This window comes from Homo sapiens, chromosome 3 (genome assembly GCF_000001405.40).
Source record: "Homo sapiens chromosome 3, GRCh38.p14 Primary Assembly".
In the NCBI taxonomy this organism is placed as follows: domain Eukaryota; kingdom Metazoa; phylum Chordata; class Mammalia; order Primates; family Hominidae; genus Homo; species Homo sapiens.
This window is the reverse complement of record NC_000003.12, coordinates 37,739,291-37,763,776: the sequence shown is the minus strand read 5'-3', so window position 1 is coordinate 37,763,776 and position 24,486 is coordinate 37,739,291. Positions and strand designations below refer to the sequence as shown.

The following is a 24,486-nucleotide window of genomic DNA, read 5'->3' as shown; positions in this document are numbered from 1 at the left end:
TGCATTGTTCATTTTTGTTTTGGGTTATTTGCTGGGCTGTTTAAAGTGCCAGGTCTGGCTCTTATACAAGTCTCAGCTCCAATAAGCTGGCTGCAGGGGAGACTTCTTGTTGCAATTATCCTCTAAGCATAGCTAAGTCATAAAATCCAGGACTTTTCTGATGTGAAATGTGCAGGCTTTAAAAATCAGTGTCACTGTCAACTGCTGCTGCCAGCAAAATAAGTGATTCACATTGTGGCAGAAAACTCCCCCAGAGTGAAAGCTAATGAGAACACACACGGAGACTTCTGGATGTCCAGTCGGAACCCCACACAACGGCAGCATGGGGGCTGGCATTTCAAAGGTCAGAAATCAAACAGGGCTGAAATCAAGGGGGAGAGAATTCTCAGAAAAGACATAGACTTGGCAAGGACTCCATGGGCAAAGAAATTCTCATTGCAAACTCCCGTAAGATAGCTTTGGTCCCTGCAACTTCTGAATAAAGGTCTCCGTGAAACTGTCCCTGACCACTCCGTTTAAAATTACAGCCTTTCCCAATCCCTATCCTCTTGCTTTTTAAATTTTTCTCCAGAGCATTTACCATCATGTAATAAACTATATGCTTTACTTATTACTCTTTCCCCACCAGAATGTAAGCTACATGATGGCTGGAAATTACTTTTTGTCTGTTTTCCTCTCTGCACTAGGTGCTTAGCATATGCTGGGCGCAAAGTATTTGTTGAAAGAATGAACATGTGTATAAAAATATCCCCACAACAGCCTCTTGTGGTGAGGACTGTCATCACCATTTTACAGATAAGAAAATGGGAGAGCAGAGATTTAAGTCTCATGCTTTAGACCAGGGCTTCTTAAATATGAACAGACAAAGGAATCCCTGGGGATCTTGCTGAAGTGAAGGCTCTGACTCAGCAGGCCTGGGTGGGGCCTTAGTTCTGCATGACCATGCCTCAACTTCCAGGTAGTGCTAGAGCTGCTGGACAGCTACGCACCCAGACAAAAGGATGGCGCAAGACCCTGCAAGTGGCTAAAGGAAATCAAAATGTTTTATCCCAAAATAGATTTCTTTGACATCGTTTGAAATGGCTGCTGCTGGGCCAGCAGACAGAAGTGGCCTTGCAAAACTGTCTCTTGTGGGGAAATTTTGCACCTGTAGAGAATCTCCTTGAATGCAGCCAGCCCTTCTCTTTCCAGGCCTTTCCCAGATCTAGGACAGATTGAGTCTGACACCTTTACAAGTCTGAAAAGAAATTCACCATCTATTCTCTCTAGGAGTTATGACCTGGAAGGCTTCATCTACATAACAATGCCACCTTTGCTAGCCAAGCCTCCTTCTTTCTCTCCCCCATGACATGTCTTGCCATTAAAACCTGGTTGTGGTCATGCTCTGAGCCTGCATTCTTTCTATAACCTCAAGATGGTATATAAGCTTCTGTACCTTACCAGGGGATTGGGTCTTCATTCTGAAGCCTCCCCTGTATACAAGTTAAATAAATCTGTGTGCCTTTTCTCCTATTAATCTGCCTTTTCTGAGTTGATTTTTCAGTGAAAAAGACCAAGGGTTCCCCTTGACCCCACACTGTACAGTTGTGGCAGGATGAACCCCCAAATTGGGGTTTGGCCTGGGAGGGCCGGTGGGTTTTGGCTTCCTAAAGGAAAGAATTCAAGAGGAAGCCCAGAGAGTAAAGTGAAAGCAAGTTTATTAAGAAAGTAAAGAAATAAAAGGTGGTTACCCCATAGGTAACACAGCCCCAAGGGCTGCTGCTTGCCTATTTTAATGGTTATTTCTTGATTAAATGCTAAAAAAGGAGTGGATTATTCATGAGTTTTACAGGAGAGGGGCTGCGAATTCTCAGAACCCAGGGTTCCTTCTGTTTTTAGAGCATACAGAGTAACTTCTAGGAGTTGCCATGGCATCTGTAAATTGTCATGGTGCTGGTGAATTATCATTAGTGTCACCATCTTGATTCTGGCTGTCTTCAGCTGGCTTCTTTACCACATCCTGCTTTATCAGCGGGGTCTCTGTGACCTGCGTCTTGAGAAACAAGTCCTGCTGAACTCCTATTTCACAGTGAACCCCACTGTTAAGAGTGAACGTCAACTTAGCCACTTACCAATTTACCTTGGCCTTCCCTCTAACTCTTCCTTGCCTCAATTTCCTTAAGAAATTATTATGAAGATTAGATTAATTTGTTCTTGTAAAGTACTTGATACAGTATCTCTGCACTATACCTATCTGTAATAAGTTAGTAAGATTTCATACTTTTTGGTCTGAATCTAACAACTTTCTCTCAGAATCCTAAGGGAGCATTATTAAAGTTATATTCTGCTTCACCAAAATAGAAGTCAACATTTATGCTGAGAACCCTGATAATATACACCTACTATCAGAAAATTAGAAGTTTCTCCTGGATATATTATGTGAAAATTTTGAGACAGGTTCCTAAAAGTGGAATTGTTGATATTCATATTTTAAATTTTGGTAGTTATTGTCAAATTGCCTTTCATACCAGCAGTATTTGAAAGTGCTCATTTCTCTTCATCTTAACCAACAATGGATCTTAACAATTTTTTAGATTTTTGCCAGTTTAATGAGGAGAAAAACCTCATTTTAAGTTTGCATTGCTCTGATTACCAGTGAGGCTAGGCATCTTTCTATATGTTTATTTGCTATTAAAATTTCTTTTTGAACTCCTGGCCTCAAGTGATCCTCCTGCTTCAGCCTCCCAAAGTGCTGGGATGACAGGCATGAGCCACCACACCCAGCCCCTAAAATTTCTTCTTTTGTGAATTTCCTGTTCATATAACTTCAACCATTTTTATAATTTTTGGTCTTTTCTGCATTATTTTGTAGAAGTAATTTATATATTATCTATTTGTTACCCATGTTGCAAATATGTTCTCCCAAATATCTTTTCCCTTATGATGTATTTTGATCACATAAAAGTTTAACATTTTTATAGGTTTAAATTTGTTAATTTTTTCTTTATGGTTTCAGGATTTTATGGCTTGCTTAGGAAGAAGAGCTTCCCATCTAAAGATTATGAAAATATTCAGTTCTGCAAATATTTTTTTTAACATCTAACTTTAATTCACCTGTTTTTTGTTTGTTTGTTTTTTTCTGTGAGGTACAGGCTTTCTCTAATGTCTTCCCAAATGGATAGCCAATTGTCTTCATATCATTTATTGAAGAGTTTATACACTGCCACTGTTTTGGAACGATATTTCATCAAATTTTTTTTTCTGCCCTCTTTTCTCTATCGTCTTTCTCTGCAACTCCAATTGTGTATATCTTGATAAACTTTGTGGTGTCCCACAAAGCACACCAAAGGCCTCTGGGGCTTCAACCATTTTGCTTGTGTTTTATTCTTTTTTCCTTCTGTTCTTCAGATTGGAAAATCTGTACTGTAATCCAGCTTCAAGTTCACTGATTCTGTGTCAGCTCAAATATGCTATTGAGCCCCTCTAATGAATTGTTCATTTCAGGTGTTTTGCTTTTTTTTTTTTTAATTAAATTGAGACAGAGTCTCACTCTTTTGCCCAGGCTGAAGTGCAGTGGTGTGATCTCGGCTCACCGCAACCTCCGCCTCCTGGGTTCAAGCAATTCTCCTGCCTCAGCCTCCTGAGTAGCTGAGATTACAGACGACTCTCCTGCCTCGGCCTCCTGAGTAGCTGGGATTACAGGCATCTGCCACCACTCCCAGCTAATTTTTTGTATTTTTGGTAGAGATGGGGTTTCACCATGTTGGCCAGGCTGGTCTTGAACTCCTAACCTCACACCCGCCTCAGCCTCCCAAAGTGCTGGGATTACAGGCATGAGCCACCGTGCCCAGTCAGGTGTTTAACTTTCTTTTATTTATTTGTTGTTTTTTTTTTGAGATGGAGTCTTGCTCTGTCATTCAGGCTGGAGTGCAGTGGCACATCTCGGCTTACTGCAATCTCTGCTTCCCGGGTTCAAGCGATTCTCCTGCCTCAGCCTCCCGAGTAGCTGGGATTACAGGCACCTGCCCACGACACCTGGCTAATTTTTGTGTATTTTTAGTACAGACAGGGTTTCACCATGTTGGCCTGGCTGGTCTCCAACTCCTGACCTCAGGTGATATGCCCAACTCAGCCTCCCAAAGTGCTGGGATTACAGGCATGAGCCACCATGCTCAGCCCATGTTTTACTTTCAATTCCAGAATTTCCCCTTGGTTCTTATAATTTCCATCTATTTTATTATTCATTTATTTAATTTCCACTTATTTTAATTTATTCATCAATATTATTACTGATATTCTTTATTTGATGAATCATTGCTGTCATACTTTATTTAAACTGATTTTAGTTCTTTAAACATTTGTAATAGCTGCTTTGAAGTCTTTGTTAAATCCAACATCTGGGTTCCTCAGTTTTTATTAACTGTTTTTTTCTTCCTGTATAGCACATGAGAAATATATATGATATATACAGTGTCTGTGTGTATTTAAATTGGACATTTTAGATAATATATTGTAGCAATTCTGGATTCTTACCCCTCCCATTGAGGGGTAGTTGTTACTTTTTTTTTGTTTTGTTTGTTTAGTGACTTGCCTAGACATAGTCTCTGGAGTCTGTTTTTCCTGGAGTGTGCAGCCTCTGATGTTTCTGCTGGCAAAATATATATTGCATGTATGCATATATATGTATGTGGGTATATGTGTGTGTGTGTGTGTGTGTGTGGGTATATATATATGTATATATATATTTATCACTTGTTTTTATTTTTAAGCCTGGTTTTGTAGGGGCTGTCCTGGATCAGCACAGCTTAGTGATCAGCCAGTGACTGGTCAGAGGCTGTATGTAAACATCTTGATCTAGGAAGGTTTTCACCCTCAGTTGGTGGGTCTGTGTGTGTCTCTGGGGAAAGCATTTGAAGATCAGGCAGTTTACAGTCAGCTTCAGCTCTTACCTTCTGTATTCACAAGTCCTCAGGGCCAATCAGTTGATTCTCTTGGATTTTTTTAGGGAGACAATAACAATTTTTACAATAGGATACTTTTTTTTTTAAGAATAAAGGCTATCATTTCTTTTTATTGTTAAGGCCTCCAACACAACTAAACTGAAGAGACACTAGCAGGGACTCATGCCTGTTCCTCACTTAGCTTGAAGTTTCCTATAGGTTTCTGGCAAAGGGTCTTTGTCAAGTTGAGGAAGTCTTCTATGCTTTCCTTACTGGAAATGTAATAAAATATCATAAATAAATGTTGAATTTAATTTTTAACTTTTTAGAAACCCTTATCAAGATTATCATTTGGTTATTTTTCATTTAATCCTTTTATTATTAATAATAATATATAATGAGTTATATTAATCAGTTTCCTCATGGAGAACCAACTTAGCATTCCTGGATTACATCCTGTTTTACCCAGACTATATTATTCTTCTAATAGGAATCAATTTGCAATTTTTTTTTTTTTTTTTTTTTTTTGAGACGGAGTCTCGCTCTGTCGCCCAGGCCGGACTGCGGACTGCAGTGGCGCAATCTCGGCTCACTGCAAGCTCCGCTTCCCGGGTTCACGCCATTCTCCTGCCTCAGCCTCCCGAGTATCTGGGACTACAGGCGCCCGCCACCGCGCCCGGCTAATTTTTTGTATTTTTAGTAGAGACGGGGTTTCACCTTGTTAGCCAGGATGGTCTCGATCTCCTGACCTCATGATCCACCCGCCTCGGCCTCCCAAAGTGCTGGGATTACAGGCGTGAGCCACCGCGCCCGGCCCTCAATTTGCAATTTATTTAGAACTTTTGTATCTGTTTTCAAAGTGAGTTTGGCTCACTGCTTCCTATTTTTGCGTGAGTGTGCCCGCTCTCCATTTCTGGTTTCTGTACCAGGGCTATGTTAGTTTTCTGGAATGAGTTTCTTTATCTTTTTCTACTCTCTGGAACAGCTTATATTAACATAAGAATTATCCATTCCTTGAAAGCCTACTAGAATCTGCCTATATAGCTATCTGGGTCGGTGATTTTTTTTAAGATATAGGTCTTTGTCTACTTTTACATTTTTTTCTAAGATAGTCTAGTTGGACTTTTTTTTTAACCTCATGCATATTTTATTCAGATTTTATCTTTGTGTGAATAAAATTGAAAAGATTTTTTTGTTTTGTTTTTGTTTTTTTGAGACAGGATCTGTCATCCTGGCTTGAGTACAGTGGTGTGAACATGGCTCACTGCAGCCTTGACCTTCTGGACTCAAGGGATCCTCCCACCTCAGCCTCCCAAGTAGTTTATGCCACATGCCTGGCTAATTTGTTTTTTATTTTTTGTGGAGACAAGGTCTTACTTCCTTGTCTGGGCTGGTCTTGAACTCCTAGGCTCAAGGATCTTCTTGCCTTAGCCTCCTAAAGTCCTGGGATTACAGGCATGAGCCAACCATGCCCAGCTCAAAAGATGTTATAAATTTTAAATCTTCATATAAGTATGGTACTTCTTTAAAAAGTATTTCTAGTGTTGTTTTTTGGCATCATCGCTCTTCTTTATTTCTTGTTGAAGCTTGCTGCAGGTTTGTCTATTTTTTTGGACAAAAAAACAGCTTTTGATTTTGCTAATGTGGAATACTTTTGTTGTTATTATTTTTTCTATTTCAGGATATGCTTTGTCTTTAATAATACCTTCATTTTACTTTCTTTGAGTTGGGTTTATTTCATTGTCCCTTGTCTAGTTTTTATGTTGTCAATTTAGTTCACTTATTTTCAGTCTTCCCTATTTTCCACATGTAAGTAGTGGCATTTTCCTCTGTGTTGGTTTTGTCTAAATCCCATTGGTTTTGATATGAACAACCGCTCACTGTCTTTCACTTCTAATTTGTTCATCCCTTCAACTTTGATTTCTTTTTTTTCTAAAAAGTTAATTTGAATGGTGTTTAAAATTTCCCAAGTGGATTTGTTTTTGGTTGGTTGTTTGCCTAACCTTTTGTTTTTAGCTTCCAAGTTTATTGCATTGTGGTCAGAGACTGTGGCTTCTACTGCTTTGACTTTAAAAATTCCATTGATGCTTATTTTTGTGTTGTTGTATGTTGAATAATTTGTAAATGTTCACATTTGAAAAGAATGTGCATTCCCTTATTTATGTTAGGATCTCTGTTAATTACTCCATATAAATTAGTTTCTTCAGTCCTTACAGTGTGAGATAGGTACTACTACTAGTTCATTTTACAGATGAGGAAAATAAGATTGGGGAGTTAAGGTAACTTCCTATAGGTTGCCATAGCTGGTAAACAAGGGAGCAGTAATGAAAATCAGACATTCTGACTCATTCTGTCTTGGTCTCTATATAAATGATCGCAACTCTAGTTGCATTATTCAAATACTCATTATTTTACTCCTACTTGTGTGATGATTTTTGAGGGGAAAGCAATAAATTTTCTTGCAATGACTGTGAATGTGTCAATTTCTTTTTGTGTTTCTATGGTTAAAGCTGTGTTGTTGGTTATATAAAATTTCATTTATGTTACAAATTCTTAGTGGACTAAATCTTTAACACTCTGAAATATATTTTCTTTTGCTCTGTTTAATGTTTGTGGGTTTTGGGCTTTAATTATACTTCATTTGCTGTTAATATTGCTATACTTTATTTCTTTGGGTTAATATTTGCCTTTTTTTTTTGAATGCCTTACATTCTGGGTAACTTTGAAGGTGTATTTCTTACAAGTTATTTGGTACTTGGATTTTTAAAATTCTAATCTGAGAGTGTCTTTAGGGCATTTAATCCATTAATTATTATTTTGATTATTGAAATATTTAGGTTTATTACTTCCATCTTATTATACATTTATTTTTTTCTTCATAAATTCTTTCCTTTTGGATTGTTTTGAATTTAATTATGTTTTAAATTCTTCTTCTTTAGTGGTTTGGATGTCCTACATTGTTTTTTGTTGCCCTTAAAATTTTACATATTTAAACATTTATTTTACCAAAGCCTTGAGCTAATTGGTACATAAACTTGTCCCCCCAAGACAAGAATCTTGACTTGCTTTCATTTCCATCTCTCTTGACTTCTAACTCTTATATTATGATCATCTGATATTTTCATTCCAGATTGCTATTTAAAAAAAGGAATAAGTTTAACTGGCTTTTTTGTTCTTCTGCAATACATTCTCAGAAAATCCAAGTTTCGAATCCCCTACTTTATTCTTTAATATTTATTCTACTCTATGGCTTATATTGAAGTTTCATTTGAATGATCAATATCTTGAATTTACAAATCTCTAGTTTATTCTGTTTCATGGAAACACTGTCTTTTTGCATTGCTCTGAAGACATCAGTCTTGCTTATTCAGAAGCCTTCTGTTGGCCTTGTTACTGCACCCTCTGGTATTAGTTCTTTTGATTGCGGTTGCTGCCTCTCTGCCCTGGTGTTGATGCTCCTCCTCTGGTGGGTGATTCTTGGGGGTCTACTCCTCATCTGTCTGTCCTATTGACTGAGCCTGCCTCTGGTGATTAGGGAGTGGGCAGCACTTTCAGGAGCAGTGTGCAATTCAGCACAATGGGAACCACGTGAACTTTGGAGTCAGACCTGGTTACAAACCCAGCTCTACTTTTTAGCAGCTGTGTCAGGTTGGGCAAATCCTTGAAGCTTGGTTCCTCAACTTGGGATGCTGATCTTACCTTATGAAGGTGCCATAAGGATTAAATTTGACAGCACATGAAAAAGGCTACTAAAGCCTTGGGACAGCAATAAATGGTATTCATTTTTTTGGGGGGGTCAGTTATTCAGGAGTAATTTCTTTACTCTTTAGCTTTGGATTATATCGACTGATTTGATGGCCCCAACTTAAGAAGCTCCTCCAGGTCATCCTTGGGGAAAACAATTCATTCCTCCATTTATGTCTAATTTTAAGCTCCTGTTATGGTCAGTGATGTATCAGGTGCATATTTTCTTCATAGGGATGTGAGCAGTCCCACTATAAATTAATTGAAGTTCCCACATCAACTGACTCATTGTGGGATACCCATCGTACATCATGGGTAGGCCTGTCTACTGTACAAGCATGGGGAGGGAAGATTTTACAGTTTACTAAAATATGAGTCCTGGCACCAACTTGGAATATTCTAACAGATGTTGGTATTCATGCCATATTGAAGTCAATGTCCTAATGGTACCCTATGGCAAAGACATTGATATATCTCCTTAGAAAATTATCATTCATCCCTACAATTTTACCTCCTGGAAATCAGGTCAGTTCTTTAGAATCACTGCCCCATAGCAAGAAAACAACAAGCCAGAGAGGCCAATATTTTCAATTGGTTTTGCAGGAGGAGGAATGAATGGTATGATATTTATTTTATATCTCTTCTGGACTAACACTAGAGTTCTTTCAAAAATCCAGTACTTTCACCTGGAATAAAAGTTCTAGCCCTTCACTCCCTGTTAGCTATCATTTCTGACTTTTCCCCTTCTTGCATATTAACAAGAGCCAAATCCCAAAGCCTTCTCCTCCAGTGTGAGAAAGCTGCTCACAGATACAGGTTTTTAACTCCATCAAGTGAAGCTTGCAGTCTGAGATAAAGCTCCCATCTCTTCCATTGAACCTTCAGAAATTGTGAGTAAAACTTAACTTTGGAAAGACCACTACCCTCTTCCCTTCATAAGCCATGAAGCTTGTGACAGATGTGTTATCTTGGTGCAATCTTAGACCTGTGCTCAGGGGCTATGCTACACGGCTCGCCTCTGCAGAAGAATGGCAATAAAGTGAAGTGGTTCAATTTTTCAGGTCTGTTCTGAAAAATTGAGAAGATGATCTATCTTCACTTCAAAAAGAAATCTCTAAGGAGCAAGTGGACACAGCCTGCCTCCCATAAGCTGTCTGGCTCACTCATTTTATTCCTGGAAATCAGGTGAGTTTTTTAGAATGACTGTCCAATAGAAGGAAAAAAGTAAGCTAGGGAGGTCAGTAGCTACTGCTCATTGCAGCAGGCCAAGGGTGGTTTGCTGACAATGTCCATGACATGTAGTTAGACTCTAGTATCAAACAGGGAGCTTGGCCTTCTCCATGCCTAAGTCAGCAGGTAGGAAGGTTCAGGTCTACAGCACACACACGATGTACCCAAGAAGAGTGATTAATTTACAAACTGACAGAGGAAATGACTGTGGTTCAGTACTCTCTGTCATTCTGCCAAAATATCTATCTGCTGTACATCTGCAGAAGGCATACGGAACACTTACTCTTGCCTATTTGTATAAGAGCTAGGCAAACAGAATGGAGAACCGGGTGTAGCTCCCAGCACAGCAGATACTCATCATACACTCACAAGTGGTGACTGTTCCTCTATCTGGAATGTTCTCTTCTTCACCTGTTCTCTTGGTGAACTAGACATCCTCTAAGCCCTGACTTGAAGAGGTTCCTTTGTGAAGCACTGAACCTTTGTAGCATCCTGGGGTCTGGGCATGCCTCCATTATTGCATTTGTTATACGGTATTACAATGGCATTTTATGTATCTGTTTCCTGCAAGACAGTGAGTTCTGGGGCAGATGTGGGACTTATTCCTCTCCTTGGAGCCTGGCACGTAATAGGTACTTGCTGAGCCAGTGTTTGTGAACAAATCAAGAATGATTTGTTACTAGTAATTTTGCTATTTCAGATAGACTAGAAAGGTCTGTCATTCTTCCCCTCTATTATTTTCATGATCATTACAACCTGGCTTCCTGATGGACAGACACTAGGTCCACAGTGACCTGTTTCCTTTTTTTTCTGTGCTGTGGGAAGTCAGAGTAGGGTCCACACAACCCCCGTGGGTGGGAAGCAGTGAAAATTGATAGTCTTTCCTCAGGCCACCACCGTGGCTCTGTTTTTAAGGTAAATACAAGCACAGCAGAGGGGCTCAGAGACATTAGCTACAAGGAAAGAAGATCACGAGCCAAGGCTGGGAGTTTGGAGTGGTTACACTTCATTAGGCTCCCCGTAAAAACCTCCCATATATAAGCCAGACACTCTCCACTTACAGACAGCTGGACCTCAAGAAATGCTTTGGGCAAACACAAAAGACTCTTTGGTGAAAGCTAGAGGCAGGTTGGTCCTGCCCAGGGACCCCAGAAGCAGCCCCAGAGACTTCTAAATGAATTCTGAACCAAGTCAGAAAACTGTGCCACACGTGGGTCCGTAGGTAGGGTGACAGCCCAGGGCCCATAGGGCGAGTAAGCCCATCCTCATTATGCTCTATGGATGATGATCACAGGCAATACAGACACCAAGGGCACTGTTAGAGAGGGAGAAACAATTTGAGGGTCCCAAGGGTGTGGAGAGGAATGACAGATGAGCCTTCCCTCCATGCCTATAATCTGTTTCTGCTTCAGTTGGCTTAACATGTCCAGCTGGTGCCCAGCTGTTCAGTAGCCTTTGGAGGTTGGGGAATGGTGGTGGCTGAGAGTGGGGGTGGGGAGGGAATGCCACCAGGCCAAAGGGTCACCTCCTAGTGCAGTACAGAGAATGAGTGCTGGTTTCTCCTAATAGGACTGAATTTCACTTGCACCAAGCCACCCAAATCCCCAGAATGAAAGCCCTGCTCCATTCAAAGTCCCATAAGGCCAAAGTGGAAACCGTCATGAGCTCTGAATCACACCTGACCCAGTGAGCATTCTCAGGCCCTACTGAGCAAGGGAGGGGCGGAGCCACAGGAGGCCCTTGCCGAGGGCTTTAAGGCAGAGGGTGTGCCAGCTGTGGGCCTCTGAAACAAGTATCTGGGGACTCTCGCCTCTTCACTACAGCACCTCATGCACTCGCTTTTATGCTTCTACTCTTGTTGTCATTCTGGGCTCAGTGGTGATCGTTTATAAGAACACAGAGAGCTTTCCTACTTGCTTAGTGAGATGTGCCAGTGAATTTACTTTTCCATACGATGAAGATGCCCACAGCCTTTGATCACAGGCTGGGCTATCCAGATGGAGACTTGGCCATCCTAGGGCCAAGTCTGTTACAGACTTTATGAAAATTCTAAATATAGTTTTGAAAATCCAAAGGATTTGTTTCTCAGAGCCCAAAGAACAGAGTGCAGCCAGCTCACACCACTTGGGTATCTGAGGGTCCACTCAGCCAGAACGATAGCCAGGCAGTTGTCCAGGTCTTCAGGAAACCACTTCTAATGCCTTCCATGCAAGCCAGCTATTTGTAAGTGTGAGCCCAAGTCCCTTCCAGTGGCTTTTCCTTGGCTCGATGATCAGTAAAGAGGAAAAGGGGTATCCCTGGTTTTGGGGTACCTTCAGAATCTGAGTGACTTAAATGTCTTGTTTTGGTCAATAGATGATTTTGCCCATAGGAAAAAAAAAGGCTCCTGCAACACTGTAGATGTTCACGTGAACAACTCAGAAAGCATGCTCTAGGAAGAGAACACTCCTAGATGCTGGGGAAATGTGGCATGGTCAGCATGGTTAATAATATTTAAGAGGGTAGCCAGAAGCCTGTGTGGTTTGTTCACCTCATGCTAAGTTCCAACCATAGTACATCATAGGTGCGGAACACTGGCGGCTTTCTTCTGCTGGGTCAGCAGAGCCCAAAGACAAGGGGATGCCATGGAACTGGAATGGAACATCATGAGGGATGTTAACATCTGAGCTGGCATCTCGGGAGGAGTGACCTGTTCTACATTCAACATTCACATGCGTCTGGTTTTCAGTCCACATGACCCAGAGGGCAGCAATGCCAGAAATTACTGTCACCATCACACAATGTTTTCTGAACCTCCACCCTGTGGGCTGTGTCCTCTTCAACTCTCGGCTCAGATATTCACCTGCTCCATATGGGCCTTGCTGCCCTGATTTTCAAGCTATCTATGGAAAAACTGTCCCTTTGGCTGAATGTCCTTCACGTGCCCCTATAGAGAGCAATGCTTTCACAATCCTCTCAACATGGACTGCAGGCACTTTCCCTGTGCAAAATGCACTCAGCAAAATGCATTCAGACGCATGCAACTGCAGATGCTGCTGGGGGTTCCCAGAGCCAGCGAAGTCCATCCCAGGAGCTGGTTCGTAATTAACTCTTCCCCATCTCCAAAGAGGTCTTCTTACAGCATTAACCAAATGGTCTCAATGTAGAAATTCAGGTATCACAGGTCCCCTGGCCTCTCCAGATATGTCTCCAAAGGGTAGAATGAGTTGAATTTTCCAAACCCTCAAGGTGGATGTCAGGGTAGGGTGGAATACAAAATTTGAATGGGCTGGCTCAAAGCTGAAAGCAATAGTGAAAACAAATGGAGAACTCACCACCATTTCCTGGACATGAAACATCTCTGCACCACCAGATGAGAGTCGATTAGGGAAAGAGATGCTGACAGATGACCCTGGAAGGGTGCTTGGGCCAGTGTTGTAGACCTGTGGGTGTGGAACACACACAGCAAGTCTCAGTGGAAAATAGCAGACCTCCATTTCCTGTCATGCAATATATATTCTAAGATTCTTTGAAATCACATACAGAAACTCTAAGGTTCGGATCTGGAAGGTCACAACTTGAAGTAAAGTGAACTACTGAATGACGGGAAATTTCAACAAAATAGAAACACTTCTAACATGCATCTAAAAATCTCAAACTTTGAAACTACCATATTCTCTTTCAGCATTTTGTCTTCTTCCTGCTAAAACTTTTCTTTTTACATGCATAGGAATTTACTCATAGACTATTACACTTGGTGAGAACTCAGACATCATAATCTAGTCCAGTGGTTCTCAAATTTCAGCAAAACATCAGAACCATCTGAGGGGCTTGTTAAAACACATTTTGGTGGGGGGGTATGGAGTGGGGGTCATGCCGAGTTTCTGACTCAGTAGGTCTAGGGTGGGGCTGGCAGATTCATATTTATAACATGGTCCCAGGAGATGCTGCTGCTGCTGGTCCAGGAACCACCACTTGAGACCCACAGATCTGGTCCAACCTCTTTCCTTTGCCAGTTTGAGGTAACTGAGGCCCTCAAGGACCAAGTGGGTCATCCCAAAACCAAGCGATCGAATATACAGAAAGGGCTGTTTTTACTACATGAGCCAGCTGATTTGGTTTCCAGGCAATCTGCAGCTCATCACTTGCACAACTGTACCCCTCTTCTGTCTCAGCATTTGGTTCTATAAAACTTTGCCTCTCTTGTTTTCCCTAGCATTTCTCCATTTTCTGTCTTCAGAAGTCAATCATTTCCTGAGAAATGAGGAAAAAGATGGAGGTCACAGAGACCAGTAAGAGCAAGGAGGGAGAGGAAAAAGCTGAACATGAAACTCGAGGAAGAAACAGAATATGCAGAGGAATAAAAAAAGTGAGTAGATCTCTAGAGACAGAAAGTAGATTAGCGGTTGCCTAGGGCTGGGGAGCAGGAAGAATAGGGAGTAGGACAGGCAGCATGACAGGCCCCCCAAAGATGTCCATGTCCTCATCTGTGGAACCTGTGAATGTTATGTGGCCAGGGGGAATTAAGGTTGCTAATCAAGCGACCTCAAAATAAAGAGGGTATCTTGAATTATCCAGGTGAGCACATTGTACTCACAAGAGTCCTTATATAGGGAAGAGGCAGAAGTCAGATCAGAAAGAGAACATCCTAAGACTTGACCAGCCATTGCTGGCTTTGAAGATGGAAGGGGGCCATGAGCCAAAGAATGCAGGCAGCCCTTAGAGGCTGGCAAAGGCAAGAAGTGGATTTTCCCCTGGTGCCTCTGGCAAGAACACAGGCCCTGATACTTTGGTTTTAGCCCAGCGGGGCCCATTTTGGACTTCTGTTCTTCAGAACTGTAAGATAACAAATTTGTGTTGTTTTAAGCCACAAATGTTGTAGTAATTTGTTACAGCAGCAATAAGAAATTAATACAAGAAGCTATGTCAATGGGTTAAGGATTTTTCTTTTTTCTTTTTTTTTTTAAACAGTCCAGAGGTCTTTCATTTTTTAGACACCTATTATGCCATGAATTCATAGGGAACAGGTTCCAGCAGCTCAGGCTCCTTCCCATTGGTTCTCACAAAGTGTGCTTCTCTGGGTGGTGCAGGCTGGTGCTTCAGTTGGACCCAGGTATCTTTCTGTTTGGCTTCCTTCTTTTTTTTTTTTTTTTTTTTAAGACAGAGTCTTGCTCTGTCGCCCAGGCTGGAGTGCAGTGGGCCAACCTCGGCTCACTGCAACTTCCACCTCCTGGATTCGAACAATTCTCCCTGCCTCAGCCTCCTGAGTAGCTGGGATTACAGGTGGCTGCCACCATCCCCGGCTAATTTTTGTATTTTAGTAGAGACGGGATTTCACCATGTTGGCCAGGTTGGTCTCAAACTCCTGACCTCAGGTGATCCGCCTGCCTCGGCCTCCCAAAGTGTTAGGATTACAGGCGTGAGCTACTGTGCCGCCAGCTTCCTTCTTTTTCTGATCATTTTCCTTCACGTGTTTCAGGAAGCTATCTTGGCTCTTAGAGTGCTTAATGTGCTCAATACGTACATTAATTTTCTTGGCAAGAATCTTGCCCTTAACTTGTGTGTTTATAACAATGCCAACAGCATGCTGGGTAACACCGTAGACTCTTTCAGTTTAGCCATGGTAATACTTGCGGGGCCTTCCTTTTTGAACAGTACCCATTCCCTTGATGTCTATAATGTCACCTTTCTTATAGATTTGCATACACGTGGCCAAAAAAACAACTCCATGTTTTCTAAAAAGCCTAGAGAACATATATCAGGTGCCTTTCCTCTTTCCCTTTGTGTTCGACATTTTGGCGAATTACTGGAAGATGGTGGTTCTGGCCAAAAGGCCGAAATTTCTTTTGGGGGTGATTGAAATGTTCCAAAATTTTGCAACAACAAGGACGGAACTGGAGGTCATTATGCTAAGTAAAATAAGCCTTGGGAGGCAGGCATGTTTGAGACCAGCTGGGCAACGTGGTGAAACCCCGTATCTAAAACCCGACCCCCTCTCCACAAAAAAAATTAGCTAGGCGTGGTGGTGTGTAACTCTAGTCCCAGCTACTCAGGAGGCTGAGGTGGGAGGATTGCTTGAGCCCAGGAGGTTGAGGCTGCAATGAGCTGAGACTGCACCACTGCACTCCAGCAGCCTGAGTGACAGTGAGACACTGCCTCAAAAAACAAAACAAAACAAAAAAAAAAAAGAAAAAAAAGGAAAGAAATAAGCCAGATATAGAAAGACAAACATCACATGTTCTTATTTGTGAAAATCAAACAAAATTGAACCAAAACAATTGAACTCAAAACCAAAACAATTGAACTCATGCAGACAGAGAGTAGAGGGATGCTAACCAGAGGCTGGGAAGGATAATGGGGGGATGGCTGTGGCGGGGGGTGGTGGGGATGGTTAATGGATTAAAAAAATTGAAAGAATAAGACCTAGCAATTGATAGCACAATAGGGTGACTATAGTCAATAATAATTTAATAGTACATTTTAAAGTAACTAAAAGAGTATAATTGGATTGTCTGAAACACAAGGGATTTCTTGAGGGGATGGATACCCCCATTTTACATGATTATTATGCACTGCATGCCTGTATCAAAACATCTCATGTATCCTATAAATATATACACCTACCATGTACTCACAAAAATTAAAATGAAAAAAATTTAAAAATATTCTACAACTAGATGATGATGACAGGTTCACAATTGTGTAAACATATTAAAATAATTGAATTGTATGCTTTAAATGGGTGAACTTTAAGGTATGTAATCATATCTCAATAAAGGTGTTATTTTTAAAAAGATGAGTAAAATATAAAATATATAAGTTTTGTCAATTTAAAACTAAATGTTTAAAAAGGATAAGTAGGAGAGAGGAAGGAATGACATGCTGCTTGGTGGCCTGGGCACTAGAGAGAGAATCCAGGGAATCTGCAACTCTGAAGTTGAGGTCAGAAGGGCAGAGCCAACAAAAAGCCAGAAATCTTACCAGGTCTTCACACATGACAGGATGTATGAAGATCTAGCTCCAGCTAGCTCTTCCCTAGAAAACTGTGTCTTTGGTTTTCTGCAATAGTTGGTTCCACTTCAAAGAATAAATAGATAAAAACTGATAGAGCAGATGAGTGGGTTGCCAACTCCTGATTCAAAAAAGAACAATATTCACCAAACAACCTGAAGACATAGAAAAGGAAGGAATATCTGACCATAGCTGAAATAACTAATTTGAAGTGAAACATGAGTGCACAGAATTAAAAAGAAACATCCTGGCATGTCTGGGAAATCCCATTTCAAGCATGAATGGGGTAAGCAATGAAGAAAAGGATGCTGATTTGCACTATTTCACTCATCAGAGCCAGGAGGACAGGAGAGCTTGTATTACCATCTTTATTTTTAACAAATGTCTTTATACTGGATTCTCTGCAAATGTTCATGTGTAATATCTGCATTATTTTTGGCCATTGTTTTTCAGGTGGGGAAATGCTTTAAATTTTGATGCCAAAAAAGCCTCTTATTGTCGAGAAATTAATGTGTCTGTTTAAAAACTATGATGAAATGTAAAAAGCAGGCCCAAGACTAGTATTTCTGCCTTTCTCCTGTGTACAATGGCAGTGGAGCCTTTAAACAATTATGTAGCTTGTTGAATAACCGATTTTTAAAAGCATAGAAAAATCTGTTCATATGGAAAGTCTTATGTTCTCCTTCAGGAACAATATTACTGGAATAAGGAAATATAGAAACATTTTCTCCGTATTCCTGGCCTCCTTCCACAGTATTTTCACCTTCTGGTCATTATCACTGCCAAGCTGGTTAGTGACCTTCCTGCAGGACAACCACAATAACAACCATTATACCAATAAATAAGTAGTCAGACAATTCTCAAGGAAAAAGTGGGCTTTGCTAGCACAGAAGGATCTCCTTCTAATCAATGGCACACACTATCAATCTTTCAGACCCAACTCTCTCAACCCTGGATTGAATGCTGTGCACTTCCTGAGGCAATGGATCACGGAGGAGTTTATCTAAGGGACATGCCAATCACTCATTCCCCAGGGCTGGATTCTCTAGCCTGAGTCCTATTTCAGGTCAGATGTGAAGAAAACTATTTGCCTGAATACCAAACTTTAAACTCACTGTAAAAATTACCTTCAGAGAAACAACTGGAAGGATAAGCTGCATACCCTCAGATTTCTTTCTTTTGTTCCCCAGAGGGTGATAAGAACATTTGGTATATTCTGTGCAACCCCTGTTCTTCTTTTCCTTCTTTCAACACTCATACCCTCTTCATTACATGGTCTGTGTTACTTGAACCCTTCTAAATAATTTTCTGAACTACATCTTTAATTGCAAGACACCCCCAAAACTATAAGAGTAGGAAAGAGTAGAAACAACTAAGATGAAATAAACCCATCAGGTCTTTATCTATTTCCTACCCAATTACGAAAAGCAAAGGAGAAAAATAAAATAACTCTGAGAAGCAATTCAGAAATGCAGAGGTGCTGTTCACAGCAATCACTCTACTGTCTCAAAAACAAGCTCTAACCCCATCCTTCCCTTTCTCCCCTGTAAATCAAGAGCAGGGTGTGACAGCAGGGGCTTAGTTGGTCAGAAGGCACATCCTCTGTGAGCTGGGGACATGTGTTATGTATCATGGTTTCGCAGTCTGTTGCTGGGAGAATACTCTGGGGAGAGGAAGACCATTGTTTGTCAGAGCCCACAAATGTTTTACTGCCACATTCTCTAGACCCTCACCCTGTCATTATTTGTCATCCCCTAAGTCCACCTAGGAGAGGCCACAAGGAAAGAAAATAATTATTATTTAGCCACAGCAGTGAATGCCAGAGTGGGAAACCATCTCTCCATGGGGAAGGACGCAAGAGGCAGAGAAGAGTTCTGGGAGGTAGAACCAGAGAGTGAGGAGATATGGACTGTTGTGTCCTATGGGTGAGTTGGGCCCATCTCCTTCACTTCATCCACACAGGGTCCGGCCAGTGCCGCCAGGTCTTGGCCCCAGCCCGGCTTCTCCCAGCTCTGGGACCTTCAGGATATCCTTTCTCGCTTGGGCCTACATTTCATGATGTGAAAATTATACGAAATTCAAATTTCATTGTCTATAAGGAACTAAAATTTTGTTTCTGTGTTATCTATGGCTGCCTTTGAACTACAGAAGTATGGTTGAATAGATGCTGCAGAGGCCAAATGGCCCACAAAGCCTAAATTACCCCATGGCTCTTTTCAGAAAAAGTTTGCTGACCCCCAACTAAGAGAAGAAACAGTGTCCTTCATGAGGTCCACAGTCTACACCAAGTGGACTTGCTGGAAATGATGCCTGTGTGCCTGGGCAAGCCAGCCATGGCTCAGTGAGGGAGCAGCGTGCCTCCCGTGGGGGCTCACAGGGGCTCACACTCCTCTGTTCTTATAAAACTGCCCTTCCGAAAGGCTGTTCCCCTGCAGGAGGAGTGGGCTCCTGGATGAGCTGGCAAGAAAATCTCAGGAGGAAGGGACACAGCAAATCCTCTGAGGCAGCCCTGCCCAGAAGGTGGGGAATGATGGAGAACAGAAAGGGGTCCTCATGGGGTCATCTGGGCTGGGACATTGGCTGAGGCCTCCACCACACAGAGGGCTTCTTGGGGAAAACTGGCATTCATGACGTGGACCTGTCCTTCCAAATCCTGAAAAAGCAGAGGGGCCTGCACAGCAGAGTACCAGGCATCGAAAAGGATTCATTCTGTGTGTGGTTACAGATCTCACACACACACCACACCAGCCAACCACAGAAGGGTTTCTCCTGACAAGAGCTTAGCCCTCTGTAGGAGAGACATCCCATGTGCCCTTCCGTTAGCCCCCACGGACAGAGGAGGTCTCCAGGAGTGGGTACCTGAAGGGTGATATTGATGGGCTGAAAGTGACACTCCAGGTCATCCAGCTGAATGAAGTTGGCTGCGTCCACGGACTCGCCATATACAAAGGAGGTTGGAGACATGATTCTGAAAGAGGAAAGCATGAAATCTGTCATCCCCACCCACAGTCAAGCACCCATGGTCACTGCCATTCTGAGAAGCAAACATTTGTCTCAATTTAATCCAGTGTCTTGCACCCAGTGCTTCCCTGCTGGGGCTGTTACATAGCCAGTCTGTGCTTTCTGACCAGGCATGAATAGTAGTGTCTTCTCATCTTAGGTTACGTCAATAAGCTGCATGGAGAAATATGCACTGGGATTACCTTTCTGAAATGACAAGATTATCATAGCTTTGACTTTTTAAAAACTGGATTATAAAAGTATACATTTTCTGTTTTGTCATTCGAAAAATGTTTTATGGGTTGAAGAAGATGATCATAAGCTTTTAAAAAATAAATATAAATGAGTTATGTATTTGGCATCCTAAACCCCACTCTATGACAAATTCACTTAAAAAACTTAAATTTATCAGACTGCCAAGATGACTAGAAGTTAGGCATTTGAAAGCTGAATCCGTTCATTGATAGCATTTTCCCTTGGATTTCGGAGGCTACATAAGAGGTGAGAAGAATTCAAGCTCAGTTTGCAGCAATGCTTTCAATGTTGCTTATATGAACACATTCCTGAGAAGAAACAAAGCTCTGACTGACACTCCCAGACAAATATCGACTTCTAGATGCTGGAGGCCACTCACTCACCTAAACACAACAATGGCAGATTTTTGAGACTAAGTCCGAATAGACAACAACTCATCCATTTTCAATGTTTAGTGCATTATTTTAGTAAGGTAGTGAGTTCCCAGCATTACCAAATGGCAAGAGCTGTTTTAGGTTCCTGGAGAGATCAGAGGTTGACTCATTTGTTTAACTGATGGCTTCATCAGGGGCTGTTAACACCTCCCAACAAGGTCCTCTAAGGACTGATTACATGATCAAGTGTCTGGGGGTGGTGGGGAGAATGTTTTCTCTTTGTCCCCAAGGATAGGGCTTGGTTCTGGGTATATTCTTGCTGTGCCTTTGATGAGACAAGTAAATAAATGATACAGTTAAAAATAGAGCTGTGAACAGAGGCAAAAATATGCTAATTTGCAAATATATTCCATCAGTACCTCATGTTTAAAAAACATGACCAAAAATGCCAAAAGCTCAGGAGCAGGAATGCTTGGAGACTCATTCCACTGGCTCCCAGCAGTGCGGGCTAGTGCAGGGATGGCTCTCCCTGCAAGGGATCAACATTTCTACTGCTAATCAAGGCTGAGACCCAGAAGCACTTGAAAACCGAAAAATTAGAAACTGTGAACCTCCAGAAAGTTCAGCTTGCATTTGGGTCAAGGGTTCAGTGGGTCCTCACCTGATCTAAACTAATTGTGTAAATCTTTTTTCCACTATCAAAGAGGTATGCACTCTGTTTTCTGAAGCTGGAAAGAAATGGAGTTCTCATTTTTCCAAGCTGGGGCTTTGGTTGAAAACTGACACAGGTTGTTTCAGGTCTCCACAGACTGCAGCCCAGGGTCCTGCTTTCCAACAATGCCAGCGGCACTGAATGACCGTGGACTTGACCCAGACAGACAGTGTGGCCGATGGGATGGTTCCCTGCCCATTCCAGACCATTATAGACATCAGGAAAAGCCACCTCTGGCTCTGCAGAGGGAGTTAACAGAAACAAGCAAAGCCAGCACTGCCTGTGGAGCTAATCAGAAAGTGGTCCTCCTGTGAGCCAGGACTGGAGACACATCTGGTGATAATCTCTGGCCCAGCAACTTCCAGCTGAGATTTTAATCCCAGGAGCCATGCTGCTTGTTACCATACAGCATTCTGGAGGGACTAGGGGCGGATGAGAATATATGCACATAAAGGTATATGGAATGTTCAAAGAAATTATGGGGCTTAAACTTGTCATCAAACTTCTCAGATTATCTACCAGGTGGGTGGGTAGGTGGGACAGAGGAGAAAACAAGGAGGGAGGAGTGTATGAGTTACTGCAGCTAAAGCTTCATCCTGCTTTTCAAGGCTGGGAGGAAGTGGAGGTGGCACAGCCCTTGGCTCCTGGCTGGCTACACATGCAAATATGAGAAGCACAGTGTTCCACTGGAGGGCACTCCTGTGTTGTGGCAACCCAGGACCAGGCTACTCACCCGGTGATGGACGTGTCCACCTCGTGCATCAGTGGCACCATCAGCACGAGGGTGTTGTCATGCAGGGATTCAGAGCGCTCCGTGTTGCCACTGTGCAGAGAGAGGAGAATGAATGAACGCTGGCCAACACTAGCTGTCCAGCAGTGGGCTTTCTCTGTTCCACTTTAGAGTTGAATCTCTACATTCTCCAAGGGCAGATGGCACCTCATTGCCTTCAGTCTGTTTTTGGTCCCTGTACATATCTATCAAGGGCACTCTATTGTCTTGGTTGTGTTCCACACAAAGATTTGAGTGTAAGTAGTTTATTCGAGAGGTGGCCCCAGGAAATGCCAGTAGGACTGGAGAGTGGAGAAGGGAGAGAGCAAAGGAAAGGAGACAATAAAGGCATGCCATACAGGAGGGTCGTGCTGTCGGCAGCCAGGGCCCAGTCTCGCGGGGACTCTGTGAGGCAGAGTCAGTCTTCCTAGCTGAGGGCATGGGAGCCAGGCCTTTATCCACTGACTCCTGAGAGCTGCTGTTGCTGCTGCTGGGGGTGGGGGTGGGGTGGAATGAACCCCCTGGCACCTGCCTGTCAGGCAAGTGAGTGGGCTCTGGCCAGAGAAAGCCTCAGCAGGGTGGCTGGTGCTGGGAGCCGGAATCTGCCCAGTTTGCGGATAGATTGGGAAGGGTGAGGGCTGAGGGGTTATGGGCAGGGCACCTACTGTGTGTGCTACTTGTGTAAGTGCCTGTTCCACGAACAATGGACCAATGAAGTTAGGGTATTGCAGCCAGGAAGGAGTTGCTAGACTTCAGCAGCTATGTCTCACCTGAAAGGACCACCCATCATCCATGGACAGCCAAGCCCAGGAAAGAGGCCCTGACCAAACCTACCACTATAAACATCATGGAAGCTCTCGCTATAGACCCTGGCTATAGCAAGTCTATGGGGGTAGATCAGGCATCGATATTTTTGAAAGCTCCCCAGGTGATTCTAAAATACATCCACATAAGGCCTCCGGGTGAGAAAGCACAGAACGGGGATTCTTGTGAGATCATTCTGGAAAGGTGAACATGAGGGAATTGATGCTGTTAAGTGGCTACTATGTGCCAGGCACTATGCCGGGCATTTCTCAGCATGGCCTCACTGAGACCTCAGAGCAACCCCAGAGGGAGATGGAGCACCCACCTTTGACAGGTAAGGAGCAAGTCAGATAAATCAGGTAACTGCCCAAGGCCCCCCTGCAAACCAGAGCTGAGATTCCAACCAGCTCAGTCAGACTTCAAACTAGGGCTCTCTCAGCTGTGACTCCTGCTCCTGATGCCAGATTTGGGAGCGAGAAGGAAGAGGAGCAAAAGAAGAAGGGAGGAGAAGGAACAGGAGGAAGAGAGAGAAGACCTAGTTTCCCTTTATTACTTTATTAAATTTCTAATAGGAATTGTGATCATTATTCCTTGGGAAAATGCGTGGCTCTTGGGTACATGTTCTTGAACCTACATTCACAGTTGGTTCCCAAGTTCACCCTGCATGGGCGGAAGAAAAGAGTCCCCTAGACCTGCTGAGGCTGGCTCAGCTCATCCTGACTGTTCCCCACCACGCCGTTCCCTGAACATCTGCTGAGTCCCTGTCTGCTCTGTGCCCTCTCTCTGCCCCCTCCAAGCCCTGCCCCACTGCCTTCCTCTCTCAACCAGCAAGTGCTGAATGGCAACAGCACTTAAATAGCTCTCACATCCCCTCTCCTTCTCCCTCCTATTGTTCTGAAACAATGGTGCTGTGTGACGCTGACCCCATAGGGCCACAGTCTCTGCCCTGGCTCCTCATCTGTCTTCCTACATGGGGTGACATCAGTCCCTCAGGGGCATCCACAGTTTGCAAAAGCAGCAGGATCAGGTGCCCACACAGCCTGACTTCCTTGTCCTTCCTTTCCCAAGGGGTGACAAAAGCCTTGGGATCACTGCTGTGGGCAGGCCAAAGGCGACTCCCCTGTGGATGGGTTAACACCATCCTGGCCCACTCCCGCCCCCACCCCAGCATCCTGCCAGGTCTTGCCCTGCCGTTTGTTTGGCCGGCTCAGGCCCAACCGTCTCATCTGTCATCGTGTGACTGCTCCAGAATGAGCTAAGTTGAAGAGTTGAGATAAAGACGTCAAACATCAAAAGGCTTCCCGTCATTCCAAAAGCTAATGAGCTGGGATACTTTCCAGTGGTCTGCAAAAGCCAGGCTGGTGGCTGCTGAGAGGAGAGGTTCAAGAAACTGCTCAGTCTCAATGTTATGTCCCCCTAAATCTACAAGTAGGCAAAGAGACCTTCAAAGGGTGGTGATGGAAGAAAGGAACAATTGAGATTTTAACTGTAGTTTTCAAGATAAGGAGCTTTAAGGATCTTTCCGTCATAGCAGGGAGTCAAGCGCTGTGTGTGGGTGCCCTCCGGGGCAGTCAGACCATATCTTCACCAATGCCTGAAAAGAAATGAGCATCTGAAATATTCTGGTGTGTGCTTAGAAGATAATATGGTCATCTTAACATTTGTGATTTAAGAAACTAGAAATTTTTA

The 24,486-nt window shown here is 42.9% G+C and overlaps 1 protein-coding gene, 1 long non-coding RNA gene and 1 pseudogene across 2 annotated transcripts in view, besides 2 other annotated features; 1 reads left to right on the top strand and 2 right to left on the bottom strand.

Annotated features, from left to right (window-relative positions):
* The window catches only part of ITGA9-AS1 (ITGA9 antisense RNA 1), a 108,092-nt gene extending 98,004 nt beyond the window's left edge, over positions 1-10,088 (top strand). The window contains exon 4 of the long non-coding RNA NR_110531.1: positions 9,725-10,088. This is a non-coding gene — a long non-coding RNA (ITGA9 antisense RNA 1). The remainder of the gene's footprint in view (positions 1-9,724) is intronic.
* ITGA9 (integrin subunit alpha 9) overlaps positions 1-24,486 on the bottom strand; it is a 371,367-nt gene that overhangs the window by 59,731 nt on the left and 287,150 nt on the right. Inside the window, exons 21-23 of the mRNA NM_002207.3 lie at positions 21,958-22,047; positions 19,743-19,851; positions 13,208-13,315 (exon numbers count right to left, since the gene is read on the bottom strand). Of these exons, the coding sequence (NP_002198.2) occupies positions 13,208-13,315; positions 19,743-19,851; positions 21,958-22,047 (307 nt within the window). The remainder of the gene's footprint in view (positions 1-13,207; positions 13,316-19,742; positions 19,852-21,957; positions 22,048-24,486) is intronic.
* RPL21P135 (ribosomal protein L21 pseudogene 135) lies at positions 14,842-15,706 on the bottom strand (annotated as a pseudogene).
* Positions 20,323-21,000: an enhancer, noted in NCBI's record as "NANOG hESC enhancer chr3:37784268-37784945 (GRCh37/hg19 assembly coordinates)". NCBI's record gives its function as "activates a minimal SCP1, AML or CMV promoter by ChIP-STARR-seq in naive H9 embryonic stem cells {active_cell/tissue: H9 hESC(naive)}" and the evidence as "EXISTENCE:reporter gene assay evidence [ECO:0000049][PMID:30033119]".
* Positions 21,403-22,211: an enhancer, noted in NCBI's record as "H3K4me1 hESC enhancer chr3:37783057-37783865 (GRCh37/hg19 assembly coordinates)". NCBI's record gives its function as "activates a minimal SCP1, AML or CMV promoter by ChIP-STARR-seq in primed H9 embryonic stem cells {active_cell/tissue: H9 hESC(primed)}" and the evidence as "EXISTENCE:reporter gene assay evidence [ECO:0000049][PMID:30033119]".